At 37.4% G+C, this 23,292-nt stretch overlaps 1 protein-coding gene across 5 annotated transcripts in view, besides 1 other annotated feature; it reads right to left on the bottom strand.

Moving 5' to 3' along the window:
* RSRC1 (arginine and serine rich coiled-coil 1) overlaps nt 1-23,292 on the bottom strand; it is a 435,642-nt gene that overhangs the window by 162,940 nt on the left and 249,410 nt on the right. The window lies entirely within an intron of this gene.
* Nucleotides 13,748-14,930: an enhancer, noted in NCBI's record as "VISTA enhancer hs1413". NCBI's record gives its function as "enhancer in: forebrain[3/5] | limb[3/5]" and the evidence as "EXISTENCE:transgenic organism evidence [ECO:0001131][PMID:17130149]".

Here is a 23,292-nt window from a genome sequence, read left to right as displayed (position 1 = left end):
CATATTCATCTAAGAGGTGAAAGAGAAAGACCTTTGTGTAGTAAGAAATTTGGCCTGGCCTTAGTCTTCAGCTCCTCAGAGGTCAGAGTGACATTCAAATTTGTTATTCAAACTGGCTCTCTCAGACCACGCCGGGTATTTTTGCTGAGAAAGCAACTTAAAGTAGGGCCAGCCACACCTAACAGTATTAGACTGGGGGTAGGGGGTAGCTGGCCAGGCTAAAGAGACCTACAATCATGCACCAGATAATAATGTTTTGGTCAAGAAAAGACATAAGATTATAATAAAGCTGAAAGATTCCTATGGCCTAATGATGTCAGGGCTGTCCTGTGTTTGTGGTGATATTGGTGTAAACAAACCAACTGTGCTGCCCAGCATATAAAAGCATAGCATAATAAATGACTGTGTTACTGGCTTATGTATTCACAGTACTATACTTTTTATCATTATTTTAGAGTGTATTCCTTCTACTTATAAAAAAAAGTTAACTGTAAAACAGCCTCAGGCAGGTCCTCCAGGAGATATTACAGAAGGCACTATTATCATAGGAGGTGACAGCTCCATGGATGTTATTGCCCCTGAAGATCTTCCAATGGGACAAGATATGGAGATGGGAGACAATGATATTGATAATAATCCTGACCCTGTGTAGGTTTAGGCTAATGTGCATGTTTGTATCTCAGTTTCTAACAAAAAAGTTAAAAAAATTTTTTTTAAAGTTTTTAACGGCTGTTCAATGTGTTTGTGTTGTAAGCTGAGTGTTATTTAAAATGGTCAATAAGTTAAAAAAAATTAAAATTTATAAAGTAAAAAGTTACAGTAGCTAAGTTTAATTTACTATTGAACAAAAAAAATTTAAATGAATTTAGTGTAGTATAACTGTAGTGTTTATAAAGTAAACAGAACTGTATGGTAATGTCCTAGGCCCTCACATTCACTCACCACTCACTCCCTGACTCACCTACAAAGTCTATTTACGGTAAGTGCCCTATCAAGTGCATTATTTTTTATCTTTTATAGCATATCTTTACTGTACCTTTTCTATGTTTAGATATGTTTAGATATACAAATACCATTGTGTCAACATTGTTTACAATATTCAGCACAGCAACATGCTGTTCAGGTTTATAGCCTAGGAGCAACAGACTATACCATATAGCCTAGGTGTGTAGTAGGTTATACCACCTAGGTTTGTATAACTACACTCTATGATGTTTGCACAATGACAAAATCACCTAATGATGCATTTCTCAGAATGTATCCTCATCAAGTGATATATGACTGTACACTCTATGATGTTCACACAATGATAAATGGCCTTGTGGTATTGCAATAAACACAATGAAAAATATGCAAGAACTGCGAGAGATCACTTCTTACTGTAATACAATTTTCTGGAGAGGGGGACTGCTCATATGGAAATAATTAGTGTCACATGGCATTTGAAGCAGATACATGTAACACTTGAGCTCATCACAATAGCAACAGGAGGTGGCTAAGAAATTATTACAGTAGTACAGTATGTATAACAGTTAATTGTGCAGTTATGATTGAACAATGCATCTTTACATCTGTTTCCCTTTCTCTCATATGCAAATGGCACAATGCATGGTTTGTAAGTGTTCATGTGTTTAAGTTTTGATAAATTTTAACTTTCTATAATAGTTCATATATTTTATAGTGGTAAATAACATAGACTAGTATCTACATATATTTTATACATTCACGACATACGTGACTTTTTCTTAATTTTCACAATACCTCTAGGTTACAGTGGTCATCTGTGAGTTTTTAAAATTGTCACAAATCTACAGACAAAATTTACAAAATATTTATGTAAAAAAAAATCCTTGTATAAGTAGACCCATACAGTTTAAACACATGTTGTTTAAGGGTTAACAGAACACAGTAATATTTAGTCTCAAATCTAGAATGAAATGATACTACATTAAGTATAGAAAAAAATATAATTTCAAAATACACATGTAATAATTCAAAAATAAGCAATCTTTATATTCCCTCACCAAATATAAGCACTAAATATTCCACAGGTATCTTAATTTTTTTTAAGTCATCAGAGTGGTATTTTCCCACAACTTGCCCAAAAAATACCCATCATGTTGATTTTTATAAAATACCAAACTCATATAAAATATATACCAAACTATATATCTAAAAATAAAAATATAAAATACCTGACAACTTGCAAACTAGAGATTAATAAAATAAAATGTGATAATATGCAAAAGTGCTTTGTAAACCGGGAACTGTTATACAAACATAAAACATTATTATCTTTATTTTTTAATTGTTTAAAGATGAGGTCCTGCTATGTTGCCCAGGCTGGAGTGCAGTGGCTATTTACAGGCTATTCACAGTCATAGAACACTACAGCCTTGAACTCCTGGGCTCAAGTAATCCTCCAGCCTCAGCTTCCTGAGTAGCTGGGACTACAGGCTCATGCCACCATGCTTGGGGCAAGACATTATTAAATCAGCAAAAGTCACAAAGCAGCACAGATATCTGTGATATCATTTATAAAAGCAGCTATTTTACATTTTTGAAATTCATGATATTTGATGCAAAAAGTGAAATTATTTTTCTTAAAAATGACATATAATTGCTTCTTCTGTTAGTTCATTCCAGTTCTGAATCAGTAATATGTATATTTTAAAATATTAGCTTTTAGTAGCTAGAGAAAAATGAGAAACATTAAAGTAAAGCCAATTATTCCTTCATATATCTGACCAGAAAACGTTTATTAAGCACAAATGATGTGTAGGTTCTTGGTGCTGGAGATCCAAAAGTGAACAAAGCAGATAACAATCCTTACCCTGATATAGCTTACATTCTAGTGGGTAGAGACAGATATTGAAAAAAAAAATTAACTAGAGATGGAAACAGTGGTAAAACAGAAAAATGAAGCAAGCAAATGGGACAAGAGGGAGGGAGGGTGTGTGTGTGTGTGTGTGTGTGCATGCGCGTGTGTTTGTATGTATGTGTAGGGGGGAGGTGCAGTTCAGTCAGATGACATCTGAGTAATGACCTGAAGGAGGCAAGAGAGTAAGCTAGGTACTATAGCTATTTGGGGAAGCGTGTCCAGGCAGAAGGAATAGGCAGCATTAAGGCCTTGAAGGGGAAGCTGCCTGCTGAGACTAAGGCATACTAAGAAGGTGAATGTGATTGAGTGAGGAGAACAGGAGATGAAATGAAAAAAAGATAGCTCATCGGATTCTTAAGGGCCTTATTTTCTCTGGAGTAGGCATTAGGTTCTGGCCTAATGGTATTTCTGGCCAGGTGTGGTGGCTCATGCCTGTAATCCCAGCACTTTGGGAGGCCAAGGCAGGCGGATCACGAGGTCAGGAGATCGAGACCATCCTGGCTAACATGGTGAAACCCCGTCTCTACTAAAAATACAAAAAATTAGCCGGGCGTGGTGGCGGGTGCCTATAGTCCCAGCTACTCAGGAGGCTGAGGCAGAAGAATGGCATGAACCCGGGAGGCGGAGCTTGCAGTGAGCTGAGATCGCGCCACTGCACTCCAGCCTGGGCGACAGAGCGAGACTCGGTCTCAAAAAAAAAAAAAAAAAAAAAAAAAAGTGGTATTTCTGATCAAGGTTTTAAAAGGACCACTCATTCCAGTTGCCATGTTAAAAATACAATGGAACTAGTGGGAATCATGCAACCAGTAAAGAAGCTATTGCACAAATTCAGGTGAGAGATGGTGGTGACTTGGTCTAGGTAAGTGGTAGGAAAGGCAGTGAGAACAAAGATTGTACATATGTTTTAATGGCACAGACCCCAGAAGTCGCTGATAGATCAACTGTGAGGTGTGGGGAAACAGTGTAGTCAGTAACCATTTAAAATCTCTGAAGAGTGAATAAACAGATTTTGGAGGGAAGCTGAAACTTGGAAGAAAGGGCAGGCATGGTGGTACCTCACTGCTTTTGAGGTTTTGACCTAAGGGTAGGTCATGGTTGTAGTAAGACATGGCTGAATTGCTGAGAAAACCCTGTGGTCTTTTGGCCTGAGAACCAGAGGGAACAGCCCCAGGCAAATCCAGCCACTGGAAGTAAGGAGGAATCCTAGAAAAGAGAGAATCAGAGAAAGGCAGACCTGATTATTTGTAAATTCTGCCTAAGTCTCTTGACAGCTGAAGCACTCCCGTTCAGGACATACTTGCAGTTTGAAGATGAGGTTAAATTAATTAAGTTGATATTTCAGCTGTTGCCCACTATAGGTGAAAGTAAGTTACAATTTGGGTCTATCCAAGTAAACTGCCTGCTAAAACAAAAGACAATAATGCTCTTCAGAGGAACAGAATAGAATGCAGAGTATTCACAACCAAATATTCACAATGTCTAAGATACAATCAAATAATCATTCAACATCTAAAGAACAAGGAAAACTGGACCCAGTGTCAAAGGAAAAGAAAATCAACAGCAACCAACCTTGAGAGAACTCAGATGTTGAAATTAACAGTAAAGATTTGTAAATGGCTATTTTTAAGGTCCCACCCAACATGAGAATAAAACAGCCATTATAACTATGCTCAATGAGGTACATAAAAATACACTATAATGAATTAAAAATTGAAAATCTCAGCAGAGAAAAATAAAATATAAAAAACAAAACAATAATTTTAGAACTGAAACATGTTAGAAATTTTAAACTTCACTAAATAGAAATGGCAGGATCAGTGACCATGAAAAATGATAAAACAGAGCGATAGAGATGATCCAACCTGAAAACTCAGAGAAAAAAATTGGGAGGGAAAAAAGAGCAGGATGACTGTATCAGTCCATTTTGCCTTGCTATAAAGGAATACTGGGGCAGGGCGCGGTGGCTTATGCCTGTAATCCCGGCACTTTGAAAGGCTGAGGGGGGCAGATCATTTGAGGTCAGGAGTTCAAGACCAACCTGGCCAACATGGTGAAATCCTGCCTCTACTAAAAATACAAAAAATTAGCAGGGTGTGGTGGCAGGCACCTGCAATCTCAGCTACTCGGGAGGCTGAGGCAGGAGAATCACTTGAACCCAGGGGGCGGAGGTTGCAGTGAGCCAAGATAGCACCACTGCACTCCAGCCTGGGTGACTGACTGAAACTCTGTCTCAGAAGAAAAAAAAAAAAAAGGAATATCGGAGACTGGGTAATTTGTAAAGAAGTTTATTTTGGCTCCTGGTCCTACAGGCTGTACAAGAAGCATGGGCCAGCATCTGCCCCTAATAAGGCCTCAGGAAAGGGGGAGTCAGTATATCACATAGCAAGAGAAGGAGCAAGAGCGGGAGAATGAGAAGACACTACACTCTTTTAAACAACCAAATCTCATGCGAACTCAGAGCAAGAATTCACTCGTTACCACAAGGAGGTCATCTAGCCATTCATAAGGTATCCACTCCCATGATCCAAATACCTCCTGCTAGGCCCAAACTCCAACATTGGGGATCATATTTCAACAAGAAATTTGGAGGGGACACACATCCAAACAATATCAATTATAAAGAAGACGAAGAAGTGGAAAAGGCATCTAATGTATAAAACAGAAAACAGTGTACATTTGAAGAAATTACAGCAAAATAATTTCCCAAATTTAAGGGCATAAATTTGCAGACTGAAACACATCATATTCAAACTAATGAGAACCATAAAGAGAAAATATTGAAAACTGCCACAGAAAACCAACACATTACATACATTAACAACAATGACTTCAATGACTAAACTTTTCATCAGAAAAAAGAAAGCCAACAGGTAGTGAACACTATCTTTAAAGTGATGAAGGATAAGAATCTTGAAGGATACCAACTTTGACCTAACTGATATTTTATATAACACAACACCCCCAACTGTAGAATATACATTCCCTTCAAATGCACTTGGTACATTTGCCAACAAACACTGTATCTGAGGCCAAAAATAAGTCTAAAAAAATGTAAAAGAATTGAAATCATATAGAGTGACTATGCCAACTTCCCCGTCCAACCAATATGGAATAATAGGTGCTGATTGTATTTAAACTCCTGTCTGAAACAACCAAGGGGAAAAAAGAAAGAAAAAGAAAAACAGGAAAAAATAAATGGAAGAAATAACTTTCAAAACACTTGACACCACACAAAGTAGAACATTGATTTTCAAGGTCAGGAGACAACGGAGATGAGCCCTATGACTACTGTAGTTACTGCTTTGAGTTTCCAGCCATAATGCTGGGAAAGGGAACCCAAGAAGAGCTTAGTGGACCAAGTTAGTTGAGGAGATGGAGCTACAGGCACCTAGGAGACCAAGATGCCCACAGTTTGCAGAACAATATACAAGAGAAAGAACTACACAGGGGCTGGGCATGGTAGCTCACACCTGTAATCCCAGCACTTTGGGAGGCCGAGGCAGGCAGATAACCTGAGGTCTGGAGTTCAAGACCAGCCTGACCAACATGGTGAAACCCCGTCTCTACAAAAAATTTACAAAAATTAGCCAGGAGTGGTGGCACATGTCTATAATCCCAGCTACTCAGGAGGCAGAGGCTGCAGTGAGCCAATATTGCACCACTGCACTCCAGCCTGGGTGACAGAGTGAGACTCTGTCTTTAAAAAAAAAAAAAAAAAACGAAAGGAAGGGAAGAAGGAAGGGAGGGAGGGAGGGAGGGAGGGAGGGAGGGATATATTCTTTCCAGGAGGTAGACCATAGGAACGACTACAAAGGAAGGAAGGAAGGGGGGTCGAGAGGGAGGGAGGGAGGGAACTGTACAGAAAGAGAGTTCAGAAATCAGTGGAGACTCACCCTTAAAAAGAGAATTCAGAAATCAGTGGAGAGTCACCCTTAAAATATTGATTGGCAAACGCAATTGAGAAACCATCCATGGCTAAAGAAAGAACCACCTGGTCCCTGGTGCCTAAAAGAATACCTGGCATATGAAAGACGCTCATTAAAAATTGTTGAATGTTGAATGAACTAAACATTCTAATTGTTTTTTAAATAAATTACACAGTAAATTTAAATGCCATAAAATTATTTTCCAAAGTGAAGAGGTGATAGGAAGTAAAATTTAAAAGAATGAACACAGGCTTAGGCAAAATATGCAATGTTCAAATCCACATTATAAAAAAATTTACATCACTATGTTTCTAGATATCTTCCTAATAAATGGTTCTAATTCATATTACATACAATTTATTTATAATTATTTACTATAAGGTTTGAATATAAATGTGTTTGCCTCACTAAATGAATATTATCCAATTGAATTTCCTGAATTTTAAAAGCAGAAATAATCAACTGTATCCAGATATACAAAAATTCTTTCATCTAATTAATAATAATTTGAGCCTGTAATTTGGGAGGCTGAAGTGAGTGGATTACTGGAGTCCAGGAGTTTGAGACCAGCCTGGGGAACATGGCAAAACCATATCTCATTAAGAAAAAAAAAAAAAGGATATGAAATGTTAACAGGGTGTGCCTGTGGTCCCAGCTACCCAGGAGGGTTGAGGTGGGAGGCTCACCTGAGTCCAGGAGGTCGAGGCTGCAGTGAGCTATGATCATGCCACCTGCACTCCAGCCTAGACAATAGAGTGAGACCCTGTCTCAAAAAAATAAGTTAATAATAATAATAATAATAATAATAATAATAATAATAATAACTTGCTAAGTCCAATTTACTTTTCAAGGTCTTTGATTAACAGTTTCATAATGTCGTTAGAATGACAATAATTTAAAAGTCCTCTTTTTAAAACAATTTTTAAAATTCCAAGGCCTTAGTAACCTTTCCAAATTACTATGCAAAACTGCGAAATAACGACCATTTCAAGTATTGCTTAAGAGAGTTAAAACAGAAGGAATTAATTAACTCATATCAAATAACTTAGAGCCAATAAAAAGTACACTTAAATGGAATCTACTACTGTCACATGAAGAACTGTAAGGAATTTATAGGTTTTAACATATTCCTTCCAGGAGGAAGACCATAGGAATGACTACATACAAAGTATTTAAAAAAATTAAAAAGTATTAAATTCAAAATTCCTTATTTTAATTCAAAATTCAAAATGACCTTTTATGAGCATATATAATACATCATTGGCATACTTATTTTAAAAACTTTCTGAAAACATTAGACATGTATAAGGTTCTTAAATCAGATAGCATTTGATGACAGGTCATTTAGATGAATTGAATATATTAAATGTACTGTACAGATATTGGAAAGCTATTCTGGAAGTTTTTGTATGTATAAATTTCCCATCACACAGTCTGATAAATCTTTTCTATCTCAGGGTTTGCTCTAAAGGAAAAATAAGCGTATTTTACTTGGTTAAAATTACAGATCTAAATGCCTGGGGATGAATTTTCCTTTCCAATTTATGAATGGGAGGTGAGAAAGAACCATACAAAAGAGCAACCTAGACTTCCTCTCCCGTCCTCTCATCTTCTTTTTGTCTCACTCTATACCTCTGTTCCTGTATTAATTTATCTAGCTCAAATTCTAAATTATGTCATAGTCCTATATGAAAAGTCAACTTCACTGGCTTAGAATACTTTGTGAATTGCATTACATATAAATAGGAGCAAATGAAATGAGCTGCAATTGTGGGTACAGGCAATAAAGTCCCCACTCATTTGGAACCAAAGAAAAAAATATCCAATCCGTTAGAGTATTGTAATAATCAGCTTTCCCCCTTGTATTCAAAAAACATAAAACAGTAATTATCTATGTGCATATAATAAAGTTGGTTCAGTGTTTTCAATTATAGGAACATGAAAATGGTAAACATAAAGTATTAGGGACATATCGCCCATTATTACTCTCAGAACAATTACCAACAATAAAGCAAAGTGCTGCTTATTGAAAAACTAGAGAAATTATTATGGAACAACACATTCTCCATTTTCTGTGAGCAAAAGCCACACTTACTTTTAACTCCTACTTTAGAATGTTAACTCCAGTGGTGTTTAAATACACATTTACATAGTCTACTGGTGATATTCATTCATTTATTCAACCAATGACAAAAAACCAAAAGCTTCTAATACCAGGGTACCATGTTAGTTACAGGGGAATACAAGGTTGACAGACAGACCTTACCTGTAAGGAATTATGTATAGAAATGGTTCTAATGAAGTATTTATAATTGCTATGAATATAAGCTATAATATATACAAAACAAAAGTTTTAGAAAATTGAATCCAAAAATATACAAAAAAAAGTATATCATGCCCAAGTGATGTTTCTCCCAGGAATGTAAGATTGTTTTAACATTTGAGTATCAACCAATGAAATGCAACGTATCAATAGTATAAAGAAGAAAATACATATAATCATCTATATAGATACTGAAAAGGCATTTGACAAAATAAAACATTCATTCTTTACAAGAATTTGAAGCAAAATAAGAATAGAAGAAAACGTCCTCAACGTAAAAAAAGTCATCTATGAAAAACCTACAGTTTACATCTTGCTTAATGGTGAAAGACTGAATGTTTTCTCATTAGGATCAGAAATAAATGAAGGATATCCACTCTTACACTTTTACTCAAAAGCTGGAGATTCTAGCTACAGTAATAAGGTAAAAATAAGAAATGAAAGGTATCCAGTTTTGAAAATAAAATTTTCTCTATTTGCATATGACATCATTGTTTATGTAGAAAAACTCCATCCCAGAACTTAAAGTAAAATTTTTAAAAAGCCAAAAAAGAAAAATCCTAATGAATCTTTTAAAAACTAGTAATCTCTAAGTGAGTTTGACAAAATTGCAGAATACAAGTAAATTATTCAAAATAGGACTGTATTTCTATATACCAACAATGAATTGGAAATAAAAACTTAAACAAAAACTTACTATTTACAATGATGCCCAGAACATGAAATATTTAGGAATAAATTTAACAAATACATGCAAGATGTATGTGCTGGAAACGACAAATCTCTGATAAAAGAAATAAAAAAACAGAATAAATGGAAAGCTATACCATGTCCGTGGATTCAAAGACTTAATATGTTAAGATGCCAATTCTCCCCAGATTGATCTACGAAGTTGATACAACTCTAATCAAAATTCCAGTTGAATTTAAAATTAAAAAAATTTTAATCTGAGTCAGTTTTCATTTAATTTGCTGGATTTTTAAAAATAGTAATCAATAAGCTGGTTCTGAAATGTATATCGAAATGGAAAAGAATTAGAAGAGCTAAAGCATTCTGAAAAAGAAAAACAAAGTTAGAGAAATCACTAACTAATTTCCAGACTCCATACAGCACTACAGTGATCAAGGCTGGTATTGAGTAAAAGGATAGACAGATAGATCAATGGAACAGAATAGAGAATTCAGAATAGAGCTACTTATATGTAGTGAACTGATACTTTGCAAAGGTACAAAGGCAATTTGGTGGATGAAAAACATCTTTTCAACAAATGGCACTGGAATAATAAGATATCCATGTGCAAAGCAAAGAACCAGAATCCATACTTCATCATATATAAACATTAATTTTAAATGGGTCATAGAAAGTAAACTATAAAAACTCTAGAAGAAAACATAGAAGCAAGCCATTGAGTTCTCTGGTTGGGCAAAGATTTCTTAAATATGTCACTAAAAACACAATACATACAAGAAAAACTGAGAAATTAGACTTCATCATGATTAAGAGCTGCTCTTCAAAAGACACCATTAAGAGAATGAAAACATGCCACAAACTGTGAAAAATACTTGCAAATAACATATTTGATCATGAACTTTTACTCAGAATATACAAACTCTTAAAACTCAGCAACTGAAAAATGAACAATTTTTTTAATGGGCAAAGAAGACCTATTATGGTAAATAATCACATTAAGAGTGCTTAACATCATTCACCATGAGGCAAATGCAGATTGAAACCACAATGAGAGACATCTACACACCCACTGAAATGACCAAAGGAAAACTAAAACTAACCATACAAAGTATTGTCAAGCATGTGGAACAACTGGATTTCTTATAGACTGCTGTTGGGAGCAAAATATGGTTCAGCCACTTTGGAAAACAGTTTGCAGTTTCTCATAATGTTAAACAAAGTTATTATGCCAGCAATCCTAGTCTTAGGTATTTACCCAAGTAGAACAAAACCCCATGTTCACACAATATCTAACTTGAGAAAGTTATAATGGTTTATTTCATAATTGCCTCAAATTAGAAACAACAGCATCCTTCAATTAACTAATTCACACAATGGAATACTACTCAGCAATAAAAAGTAAATAAGCTACTGATACATGCAACAACGTGGATAAATCTCAAATGCATGATGCTAAGTCAAAAACGCTAGACTCAAAGTCTACATATTATGAGTCCATTTATATGACATTTCAGAAAAATTCAAGTGTAAGGACAAAAAAAAAGATCAGTGGTTTCTAGGAGTCAGGAGTAGTGGGTTCACAAAAAAGGGGTATGGGGGAATTTGGGGGAATGATAGGATTATTCTACAATTAGATTCTCAGAGCTGTTACTTAACCATTTGCATTTGTCGAAAATTAAAGAACTGTCACTAAAAAAGGTGCATTTTGCTGTATACAAATCATTAATTTTTAAAAAACATTGTTAAGAAAATAAGCAAGACAAGGACTGGGAGAAAATATTTATGAAGTATATAACTGATTTGTATTTAGAATATATAAATAACTATAACTCAACAATATAAATAATTTCTTTTAAAAACAGGCAAAAGATATGAGCAGATACTTCAGAAAGTATACAGATGGTAAATGACTGCATGAAAAGATGCTGAACATCATTAGTCACCACAGGAAGGCACATTAAATTAAATGAAGTAAAACGCACTCAATAAAATGGCAAAAATTAAACAGAAAAAAGCCAACACCACCAAGTAATGTCAAGGATATGGAACAAATGAAGCAAACTTTCATACAATGCTTGTGAAAATACAAACTGATACAACCAATTTGGAAAAATTTTGGCAGTGACTTATAAAGTTATAGCTCCACTTACTATATAACCTTAGTAATTCCAACTCCATTCTTCTTCCTTAGCATCCCAATCCTAAGCAATAACTCAAAATAAACGAAAACATGTATTCCAACAGACTTGTACACAAACATCCATATAAGCTTTACTCATAAAAACCATAAACTGAAACAATTTATTTGTGTCCACCAACTGCTGAATGAATAAACAAACTGGTATAGCCAGACAATGAAATACTATTCAGCAGTAAAAAAAAAATGAATGCTCACAACGACACGAACAAATCCAAAAAGCATTACACCAAGTGAAAGACTACAGACACAAAACACTACATACTATATGATTCCATTTACAACACATTCTAAAAATAGCAAAACTCTAGTGACATAAAGCAGATTAGTGGTTGCTAAGGTCCAGGAATAGGGAGAGAGAATTGACTTCAAATGAGAACAAAGAAACCTTCTGGAGTAATGTAAAGGTTCTTTACCAAAATCTTTGGTCAAAGTGACACAGCTGAATACATTTGTCAAAATTTTAAATTTTATACTAAATACTGGGGAATTTTATCATGTTTAAATTAAACCTTTGCTAGACCTCTTCAGTTTCTCTTCATAACCACAGAAAAATCAGAAAATAAAGATAAGCAAAAACAATTTTTTCATAACCCTAAATCCCACTATCCAGAGACAATACCAATACAAATGATATAATGTACATCATCTAGTTATTTTTCAATATAAATATTAACTTTTGGTAAAACCAAAATAGGACAAAAGTCTTCACACCATTCAGGAGCTTTTAAAAAATTCTAAATTATATCACAAATACTACTTCCATTCAACAAATTCACCATGTATATTATTTTAAAAAAGGAAAAAAGACAAGTTACACTATGATTCTCCTAGTTGTAAGTGAACACCAGAACTTTCTATTGTATGTCTTTTTGTTGCCAGAAATTATTTGAACACTTGCAAAACTTGTTTTTATTAATGTATAACTCAATTGAATTCACAGGTCTTGGAATCTCTAAAAATATATATTCTAGTTTTGCTAAACAAAATTCAAAGAAATCCTTTACAAATATAGAACAAAGTCTTGGCTTTTTTGGGATGACAAGACAATTTAAAAATAACAGTTAATACTGAATAAACATTACAAAAATTTTCTGAAAGAGAAAAGATTATTTGTTGCCATCCACTCTTTCTAAATTTAGGAGAAGATGCTGTACTCACACATGTGAAGGTCCAGTCTATTTAAACAGTTTTTAAAAAAATGTTATTATGAAAGAAAAAAGAAACCCCAGGGCCTAAAATGTAATGAGTGATCCTATTAGTTCCACCAGACTAAAATCATACAGTCTACGTATGTGGTCTTTTCAGCCACATCTGTCATGAACCATTTTTACATCACAAAATGCAAAATACTGAGCAATGATTTACTAGATCAGACCTGGGAAAGTATTCATCATTTTCCCCTAAAAGGAAAAATGGCTCATAGGAAGACAGGTGACAGTTCCTTCTTGGCAATGTGCACATATTTTAGAATTGAATCCTAATATAATCTTAGCAACAAAGAGAAAATTATAATAAAAAAAGATTAAATAAAATGAGAAAATGAAAACTCAATTATAATTTTCTTAAACTCCAAATATTTTGCTTGGCTAGGAAACATGGATCAATTATTTAAAATATGTGAAAATGTATATAAATTACTTACCACATAGTAGATGCTCAATAAATGGCACTCATTATTTTAAATACTTCATGAATCATATTTTTGTTAAGCATTTTATAAAATGATCTGATACTCCTTTCAAAAGCTCTGTTACACTAAACTAGAATTTTTACTTAATATAAAATGCATAAAGGCTATATTTTTCATTTCATTACATTAATTATTTCTTTCACTTATCTGATATCCAAATTAATCACTTTTCGGTAAATTTATTTACATAATGTTATTTTACTCTTATCCAAAAAAACAGACCTATAATTTCTCCTATAAGAAAAGGTTGACTATCAGTACAGATATTTTAATGGCTTAAATTTAAAGATATTAAAGGGTAATTAATTCTAAACAACTCATTACATAATTTTACAATAGATAAGTTACAATGATTTTAAAACCACTGAAAAAGACCCATATATCTAATATATAAGCAAGCATCCAAATCTTATACACTTGTCAGTCTTTCAATAATGAAGTCAGGGAAAACAAATTCACAGACACCCAAGTGAATTGGCAACTGTAAGTGACAGAAGCCCTTCTAAATCCTCTGTTTACACTGGGGATTAGTGGAGTAGATTTTGAGTTGCACATTGAACAGTCCATGGTCAAGGGAACCTGCTCCCTGTCAGCCCGCAGGGCATAAGGACAAAGCATGGTCCTGGTAGGAAGTGACCCATAAACGTATTCCTACCCAGGATTTATACAAAGCCAGTCTGCCTCACAGAAACTCCATATGACCATTAACTGGCCTGCAAGGCCTGCCAGGAGGCCTAATTACAGGTCTACAGAGCCCAATAACAAAAGCTGAAGGGCTTTAGCCTAGGGATGATCTGCTTTATACTGACTTGAGAGAGTCCATATAGAGGACCCAAAAGAAAGAGGTTTAGCTTTAAAATTCTCCCCAGAGATCCAGCATTGTACTCGAGTCTAGAAAGCCCACAAGCAACATACTTCAGCTAGGCTTAAACATATCACCCTCTCAAAATTAACATTCAACTACTGTCTGCTTAACATCTGCTCAAACAAGGCAAGTTGCTGTGATATTGTCAGAATCTAGCTGGTACCTTTTTTTTTCCTACTAAACGTCATTAGGGTAAATAATAGCCACTCAAATATAAACGTGTAACTGATGTTAAAACAAACAACTTACACTTTTTAAGTAAAGCAATTTACTTAGAGATTCTCTTTAGGACACACCAATTTTATCTTTTTGGATTAACAAAAAGCTAAAAACCACATTCATTGTTGGAAATTGGAAGTTAAATTAACATTAGGAATTTGATTTGTATCAAACCTATTCAATTTGACATCAAATTTTTAAGTTTCCATAAACCATACTTGATTGAAAAAAAAAGCTTTAACTAATGTCCAAGTCAACTAAACTATTTAAGGCTTTATTCATTTGTTTTGTTTTAAAAGCACTATTCTTGAAAAAGAGGGACTCCTCCCCAACTCATTTTATGAGGCCAGCATCATCCTGATACCAAAACCTGGCAGAGACACAACAAAAAAGAAAATTTTAGGCCATAGTGGATATTCCCTGATGAACATTGATGCAAAAATCCTCAATAAAATACTGGCAAACTGAATCCAGCAACACATCAAAAAGCGTATCCACCATGATCAAGTCAGCTTCATCCCTGGGATGCAAGGCTGGTTCAACATACTCAAATCAATAAATGTAATCCATCACATAAACAGAACCAGCGACAAAAACCACATGATTATTTGAATAGATGCAGAAAAGGTCTTGGATACAATTCAACACCCCTTCATGCAAAAAACTCTCAATAAACTAGGTGTTGATGGAATGTATCTCAAAATAATAAGAGCTATTTATGACAAACCCACAGCCAATATCATACTGAATGGGCAAAAGCTGGAAGCATGCCCTTTGAAAACCGGCACGAGACAAGGATGCCCTCTCTCACCACTCCTATTCAACAAAGTATTGGAAGGTCTGGCCAGGGCAAGAGAAAGAAAGAAAGGGTATTCAAATAGGAAGAGAGGAAGTCAAATTGTTGCTGTTTGCAGATGACATGATTGTATATATAGAAAACCCCATCATCTCAGCCCAAAATCTCCTTAAGCTGATAAACAACTTCAGCAAAGTCTCAGGATATAAAATCAATATGCAAAAATAACAAGCATTCCTATACATGAGTAACAGACAGAGAGTCAAATCATGAGTGAACTCCCATTCACAAATGCTACAAAGAGAATAAAATACCTAGGAATCCAACTTACAAGGGATATGAAGGACCTCTTCAAGAACTACAAACCACTGCTCGAGGAAATAAGAGAGGACACAAACCAATGGGAAAAAAATTCCATGCTCATGGATAGGAAGAATCAATATCATGAACATGGCCATACTGCCCAAAGTAATTTATAGATTCAATGCTATCCCCATCAAGCTACTATTGACTTTCTTCACAGAATTGGAAAAAACTACTTTAAAGTTCATATGGAAACAAAAAAAAGAGCCCATATAGCCAAGACAATCCTAAGCAAAAAGAACAAAGCTGGAGGTATCATGCTACCTGACTTCAAACTATAATACAAGGCTACGGTAACCAAAACAGCATGGCACTGGTACCAAAACAGATATATAAACCAATGGAACAGAACAGAGGCCTCAGAAATAATGCCACACATCTACAACCATCTGATATTTGACAAACCTGACAAAAACAAGAAATGGGGAAAGGACTCCCTATTTAATAAATGGTGTTGGGAAAACTGGCTAGCCATATGCAGAAAACTGAAACTGGACCCCTTCCTTACATCTTATGCAAAAAGTAACTCAAGATGGATTAAAGACTTAAACGTAAGACCTACAACCATAAAAACCCTAGAAGAAAACCTAGGCAATACCATTCAGGACATAGGCATGGGCAAAGAATTCATGACTAAAACACCAAAAGCAATGGCAACAAAGGCCAAAATAGACAAATGAGATCTAATTAAACTAAAGAGCTTCTGCACAGCAAAAGAAACTATCATCAGAGTGAACAGACAACCTACAGAATGGGAGAAAATTTTTGCAATCTACCCATCTGGCAAAGGGCTAATATCCAGAATCTATAAGGAACTTAAACAAATTTACAAGAAAAAAACAACCCCATTAAAAAGTAGGCAAAGGATATGAACAGACACTTCTCAAAAGAAGACATTTATGTGGCCAACAAACATACAAAAAAAAGCTCATCATCACTATGGTCATTAGAGAAATGCAAATCAAAACCACAATGAGATATCATCTCATGCCAGTTAGAATGGCCATCATTAAAAAGTAAGGAAACTACAGATGCTGGAGAGGATGTGGAGAAATAGAAATGCTTTTACAATGTTGGTGGGAGTGTAAATTAATCCAACCATTGTGGATGATAGTGTGGTGATTCCTCAAGGAGCTAGAACCAGAAATCCCATTTGACCCAGCAATCCCATTACTGGGTATATACACAAAGGATTAAAAATCATTCTCCTATAAAGACACATGCACATGTATGTTTACTGCAGCACTGTTTACAATAGCAAAAACTTGGAACCAACCCAAATGTCCATCAATGATAGACTGGATAAAGAAAATGTGGCACATATACAACATGGAATACTATGTAGCCATAAAAAGGATGAGTTCATGTCCTTTGCAGGGACATGGATGAAGCTGGAAACCATCATTCTCAGCAAACTAACACAGGAACAGAAAACCAAACACCGCATGTTCTCACTCATAAGTGGGAGTTGAACAATGAGAACTCATGGACACAGGGAGGGGAACATGACACACCGGGGCCTGTCGGGGGGTGGGTACTAGGGGAGGGATAGCATTAGGAGAAATACCTAATGTAGATGACAGGTTGATGGGTACAGCAAACCACCATGGCACGTGTATACCTATGTAACAAATCTGCATGTTCGGCACATGTATCCCAGAACTTAAAGTATAATTTTAAAAAAATGAAATAAATAAAAGCACTATTCTTAATTCCTGATAATGTCTTTTAACTGCATAAGCATACTGGTATGAGGAGGACATGTGGCTCAACTTCTTTAATTACCTCATAAAGCCACTTTGGTAATGACATAAAAAACTACTCCTACTAGCTAACATTTATAGAATGCTCAGTTATATGCTAGCTGCTAAAGACTTTATTAAATTATTTATAAATCTCTATAAGGTACACATTATTATAATTCCCATTCCCAATCTCTCTATAGACTTTATTAAATTAATTTATTTATAAATCTCTACAAGGTACATATTATTATTATTATTATTATTATTATTATTATTTTTCCCATTCTGTAAATAAAAAACTGAAGCTCAGCAGGTTTTAACAATTTTCCTATGGTTTCATCAGTAAAGATGAGAGCTAGGAATGGCACCCAAGCCCCCTGACTTGAGGACTTCACCACCATACAATATTGTCTTTCATACTTACTGCTAACATTAACTGAATACTTACTATGTATCAGGTACTGCTCTAAGTGTTTTATAAATACTAACTCATTGAAATCCATAACAACAACCCATTAGTTATGTACTATTAGTATCTCTGTTTTACAGATGAGGAAACTACAGGACAGTAAATAAAAAGTGATCTGCTCAAGCTCACAGTTTGTTAGTGAAACAATATAAATCTGGACTACCAAAACACAATCAAGCATAAGCCTATATAGGGGAAAAAAGAAGTCTGTAAACTATTTATATGAAATAAAAATAAACGTTTCAATCTCCTGCTCTTTTTGGGGGGTTTGCCCTAACATGAAAGGCTCTCTCACAATAAATCAGTACTATTTCTCGGAGCCATAGATAGTGAGTGGTCAGAAACCTACAGACAAAACCTCTTTCAGCTTTAGATCAGGGTAAAGCAGAGCAGCTTTCTATGCTCCCCGGAAACAGTACAACATTATCAAAGCAATCTGATTTGTAATTCTTTGAATTACACATATTTAACACTACAACGGACTTTAGAGAAGTGTTGGGAGTCCTAAGGATCACATGGCTATGAAGAGAAAGGGTCAGGACTTGGCTTCCAGGTACTTAATAGGCAACTAAGAGAATAAAATCTCAGTTTAACAGGCTGCAGAAAAATTGGGATGGGGTGAGGCACTTATGGCGTACTACTCAGCAAAGCTTATTACTTGGATACAGTATGTATAACTGATCTGTGTTTTGATAACACTTAACCAGTTTCTCTCCTAGGAAGGGTCCCTAAAATTCACTTCCATAGCTAGGTGTTAGAAAAAAATCATAAAACATTACTTTAGATTTTTCAAAGTTATAAATTTAGCTACTATAAACACTCTACATAGTCAAGGAAAATAACTTATTGTTCCTAAATGATGCTTTAATCCCTTTGTGGTATCAATAAGAAAACTTACTTCAGAATCAGAGGCTTACTTGAGGATAGAAATTATTTTATTTTAAGATAATTGTAGAAGGAAGTCTTATAGAATAAGGTTATGCATTTTGTAATATTATCTATTGCCTTTCTGCCTAACATAACTCAGGTATTTAACTTATGAATTAGAAGTAGCTCGAGGGCTGGGCATGGTGGCTCACGCCTGTAATCCCACCACTTTGGGAGGCCGAGGCGGTCAGATCACTTGAGGTCAGGTGTTCAAGACCAGCCTGGCCAACATGGTAAAACCCCGTCTCCACCAAAAATACAAAAAATTAGCTGGGTGTGGTGGTGCGCACCTGTGATCCCAGCTACTTGGGAGGCTAAGGCAGGAGAATCTCTTGAACCTAGAAGACAGAGGACGTGGTGAGCCGAGCTTGTGCCACTGTACTCCAGCCTGGGTGACAGAGCAAGACTATGTCAAAAAAAAAAAAAAGAAAAAAAAAGTAGCTGGAGAGTCAGAAATCACTGGAGTTAAGTCCTGATTCTATCACTTATTAGCTCTGTAACTTTTTACAAGTCATTTAAGCTTTCAGAATACTTGTAAACTGGACCTAATTAACTCTCCATGCAGTGATATGAGTCAAAAGATAAAGATTTATTAAAGTGCTTTGAAAACTATAAGGTACAATCCAAAGGTTGTAGATACTATGCAGAAAATGAAATACTGTTATGCAGAGATTTTATAAGTTGTTTTACCACATATGTACAAAAAGAAATTTCTATCTTTTCTTATAACATTAGAAATATAATTTTAAAGGTGCATGTGTCAATTCTATTAAAAGTAAAATATTGAGAAGGCTTCAAAGAAAATTGTGTTACAGGTATTGTCTTCTCATACTGATAAAAAATATCTTTTGGAAAAATCTCTCTTCTAAATTCTTTAGACCCATGGACACATTTGGGATAAGATGATAATACGTTTTTGCAGAAAATCTAGATAATGTTTGGAATGGGGCTATCAAGACAAACAAAGGCAACAGCAAAAGTGATGGAGACAAAGGAGTCCTTACCTAAACTTCCTGTTTTCCCTCCATCCCCTGTGAAATAATCATGTTTTACTGTCTTTTCTGTCAAGCGCTGTCTTAAAGTTTAAGTGTAAAAAGTCAGGTTATGTCATATATCTTCTGCTTTTGAAGCTAGGTAACATCTTAGTATATTTATTATAAAATCCATCAAACAGCAGTTAAAATGAGCACATCAGCATCTAAATGTTTTTCAGACAGCTAGATCCTCTGTTTCTCTACAATGACTTACTTACAAAAGATTAACAGCTAAAATGTTCTCTGATGTAGTACTACTATAGGTATTGTTAAAACTGCTGGGAAAGATGTAGAAGTTTTAAATGTAATTTCTATTTTTTTTGAGACAGGGTCTTACTCTGTCACCCACACTGGAGTGCAGTGGCGCAATCACAGCTCACGGAACCCTTGACTTCACTCGGGCACAAGCAATGTCCCACCTCAGCCTCCCAAGAGGCTAGGACCAGAAGCATGTGCCACCATGCCTGGCTAATTTTTGTATTTTTTTGTAGAGACAGGGTTTTACCATGTTGCCTAGGCTGGTCTCGAACTCCTGGGCTCAAATGATCCTCCCATCTTGGCCTCCTACAGTGCTGGGATTATAGGAGTGAGCCACCATGTCTGGATAAATATACAGTTCCTGACCTTTGGAAGTTTATTTCATTGGAAAAATAAGTATAACATTCATGAAACAACTAAATATTAATATCAGCAGTGTATGAATCAACATCAATATAAATGGTGTGCAAAGACAGGACTAAAAGAATTCAAATGAGGAGAGAAACATTAGGTACTGGAATGGTCAGGGAAAAGATGTGGAAATCTTGTTTTAGAAGAGCCTTGGAGTGTTTGGAGAGGGGGAAAAGGAAGAAAGAAGGCATTTATAGAAGAGAAAAACAATGTGCAAAGCTTCCCAGGTAGAAAAGAATACGGGAAACTTGAAGACCAATGGAAAAAGCACAGTAATGAATTCTAGAAGATAAAGTTAGAAAAGTCTGTGGATCTACCATATAGAACTTTAGAACCTTAAGCATAGAAACATAACACTGATTTTGTAAGCAACTGAGAACCGCTGAGTAATTTTGAGCAAAGGAGTGGCATTAACATATGATACCCAATGATGGCAGCAATGGGCTGTCCACAGTGGGGGAGGCATGGGTGGTGGTGGCAGAAGTGGCTACGGGACCAGCAATAACGGTAGTGGGTCCCCTGTGTCCCGTGTCCCCAAGGCAGCCGGCTGTGCTGCCTCCACCCTCCTATGGCTGGTTGAGACCCGCCCCAAGGCCCAGAGCCTCTGTGGCTCTGGACCTGGCACCATGTCGCTGCTCTTGCCCACTGCTACTGCAGGGAAGGAGGGTGCAGGAGCTGAGGCCATGCTTTGGGGGCCAGCGGTGCCCAATTCGAGGACCTGGCCAGCAACACAGCCGTCCTGCTGAGGACACTGGGTTCCTGCACCTTGGGAGGATGCTCTGCCAAGGGCTGCCTGGGGCCATGTCCCCAGGGTCTGTCTGCCCCACATTTGGGTGACCGCCAGGCCTGACATTCCCAATGGCCAGGCACACTCCGAGAGGTGCCCTAGGCACCCCCAACTGCCACTTTAATCAAGAAAAGCTGCCACATGGGTGAGGAGGAGCTCCGGGCCACCCCTGAGAGCCAGGGCCACAGGGGGAGCTTGCGGAGACATCTCTCCTGCCCTGGTTGCCAGCCTGGGCCCAGTGAGAACCTGGAACCCCCACCCCAGGCTGTGAGGGGGCGCAGCTGGGGCTGCATGCTCCATGGAGCTGACAGAGGCCAGGAGCAGGCAGCAGCCCTGCCCTCCTGAGCATGGCTGCAGCCCCCAAGTTGGGGCTGTGGACCCAGGTCTCTCTGCACTCTTAGCTCAGGAAGACCTCCGCCTTGCCCTTGCAGGCTTGAGGGTGCCTGCTCCTGCTGCCTGGCCTCTCTCCACTCCTGGCACCTGCTCCAATCTCAGAGCAGGGTTGGGACCAAGCCTAGGTGCTGTCACAGCCCCGCCAGGTATGTGCACACTGCATGCATGGGGCAGCATGGACACACCAGCCCTTTGCTGCCTTAGCCCCCTCCAGACTTTGGGCACTAACAAACACAAGTTACGGCTGAAGCTGAAGGTGGAGGGTTGAGGGTGGCTGGGCACTGGCCTGCAGGTGCCCCTTACTGCAAGCAGCCTGTGTGTCATGGATGGCGGCAGGAGGCAGAAGGTCTCCTGGGCAGAGGGGGACAGGTGAGGCCCTACCTTCAATCCAGAGAGGGCCTGAAGGCTGGCAGCTGGGCTGCCAGTCCTATGGACCGGAGTGGGGACTTGTGGTGCCTTTTCTGGGCCTGCCCATGGACCAATCAGTGTGTATTTCCTCCCCCTCTAAGGCCCATAAAAGCCCCAGGCTCAGCCAAAGCAGAACAGAGGATGAAGAGAAGATGGGAGGACCAGCTGCAGAGAGAGGCTACCTTCTCTGCTGAGAGCTGCAGAGACAAGGGGAGGACCTGCCTACAGAGAGGAGCCACCAACTCTAGGGCTTCCTCTCTGCTGAGAGCTGCAGACATGATGGGACAACCTGCCTGCAGAGGGAAGACATCCACTCCAGGGCCTTCTCTCTGCAGAGAGCTGCAGACCATGGGATGACCAATAGCAGAGAGGAGCTACCCTCTCTGCTGAGAACTGAACACTTGTTGGTACCACCTGCCTAGCAGAGAGGAGCTACTCTCTGTTAAGAGCTGAACACTCATTAGGATACTCTGGCTGTGGAAAGAGCTGCCCTCTGCCAGTCCCCTCTGAGCTGTTCTATTGCTCAATAAGCCCCTCTTCATCTTGTTCACCCTCCACTTGTCTGTGTACCTTATTCTTCCTGGTTGCAGGACAAGAACTCAGGATCCAATGAATAGGGAAGCTAAAAGAGCTATAACACAAACAGGACTGAGACATGCTCCTTGCTCACCATGTTGCAGGCAAAGAGAAGGAGAGAAGAGCTGTGGTGCTTTGGGGGAGCTCAGACCTGGAAGCTCCTAGAACCAGGACTGTGGCTCCCTCCTTGGGACCCTGCAGTTCCTGGGATCTTCAAGCTTCCGGGTGCCACCGTGTTCCCGGTGCCAGCTGTGGAAGCTGCTTGTAGTGTGCCCGGACCAGCTGCAGCCTCTCAGAGAGCTGGTGCCCATGCTGCCACCTGCTCTGCTGC

This window comes from Homo sapiens, chromosome 3, assembly GCF_000001405.40.
Source record: "Homo sapiens chromosome 3, GRCh38.p14 Primary Assembly".
Classification (NCBI taxonomy): Eukaryota; Metazoa; Chordata; class Mammalia; order Primates; family Hominidae; genus Homo; species Homo sapiens.
This window is presented reverse-complemented; position numbering and strand designations above follow the sequence as displayed.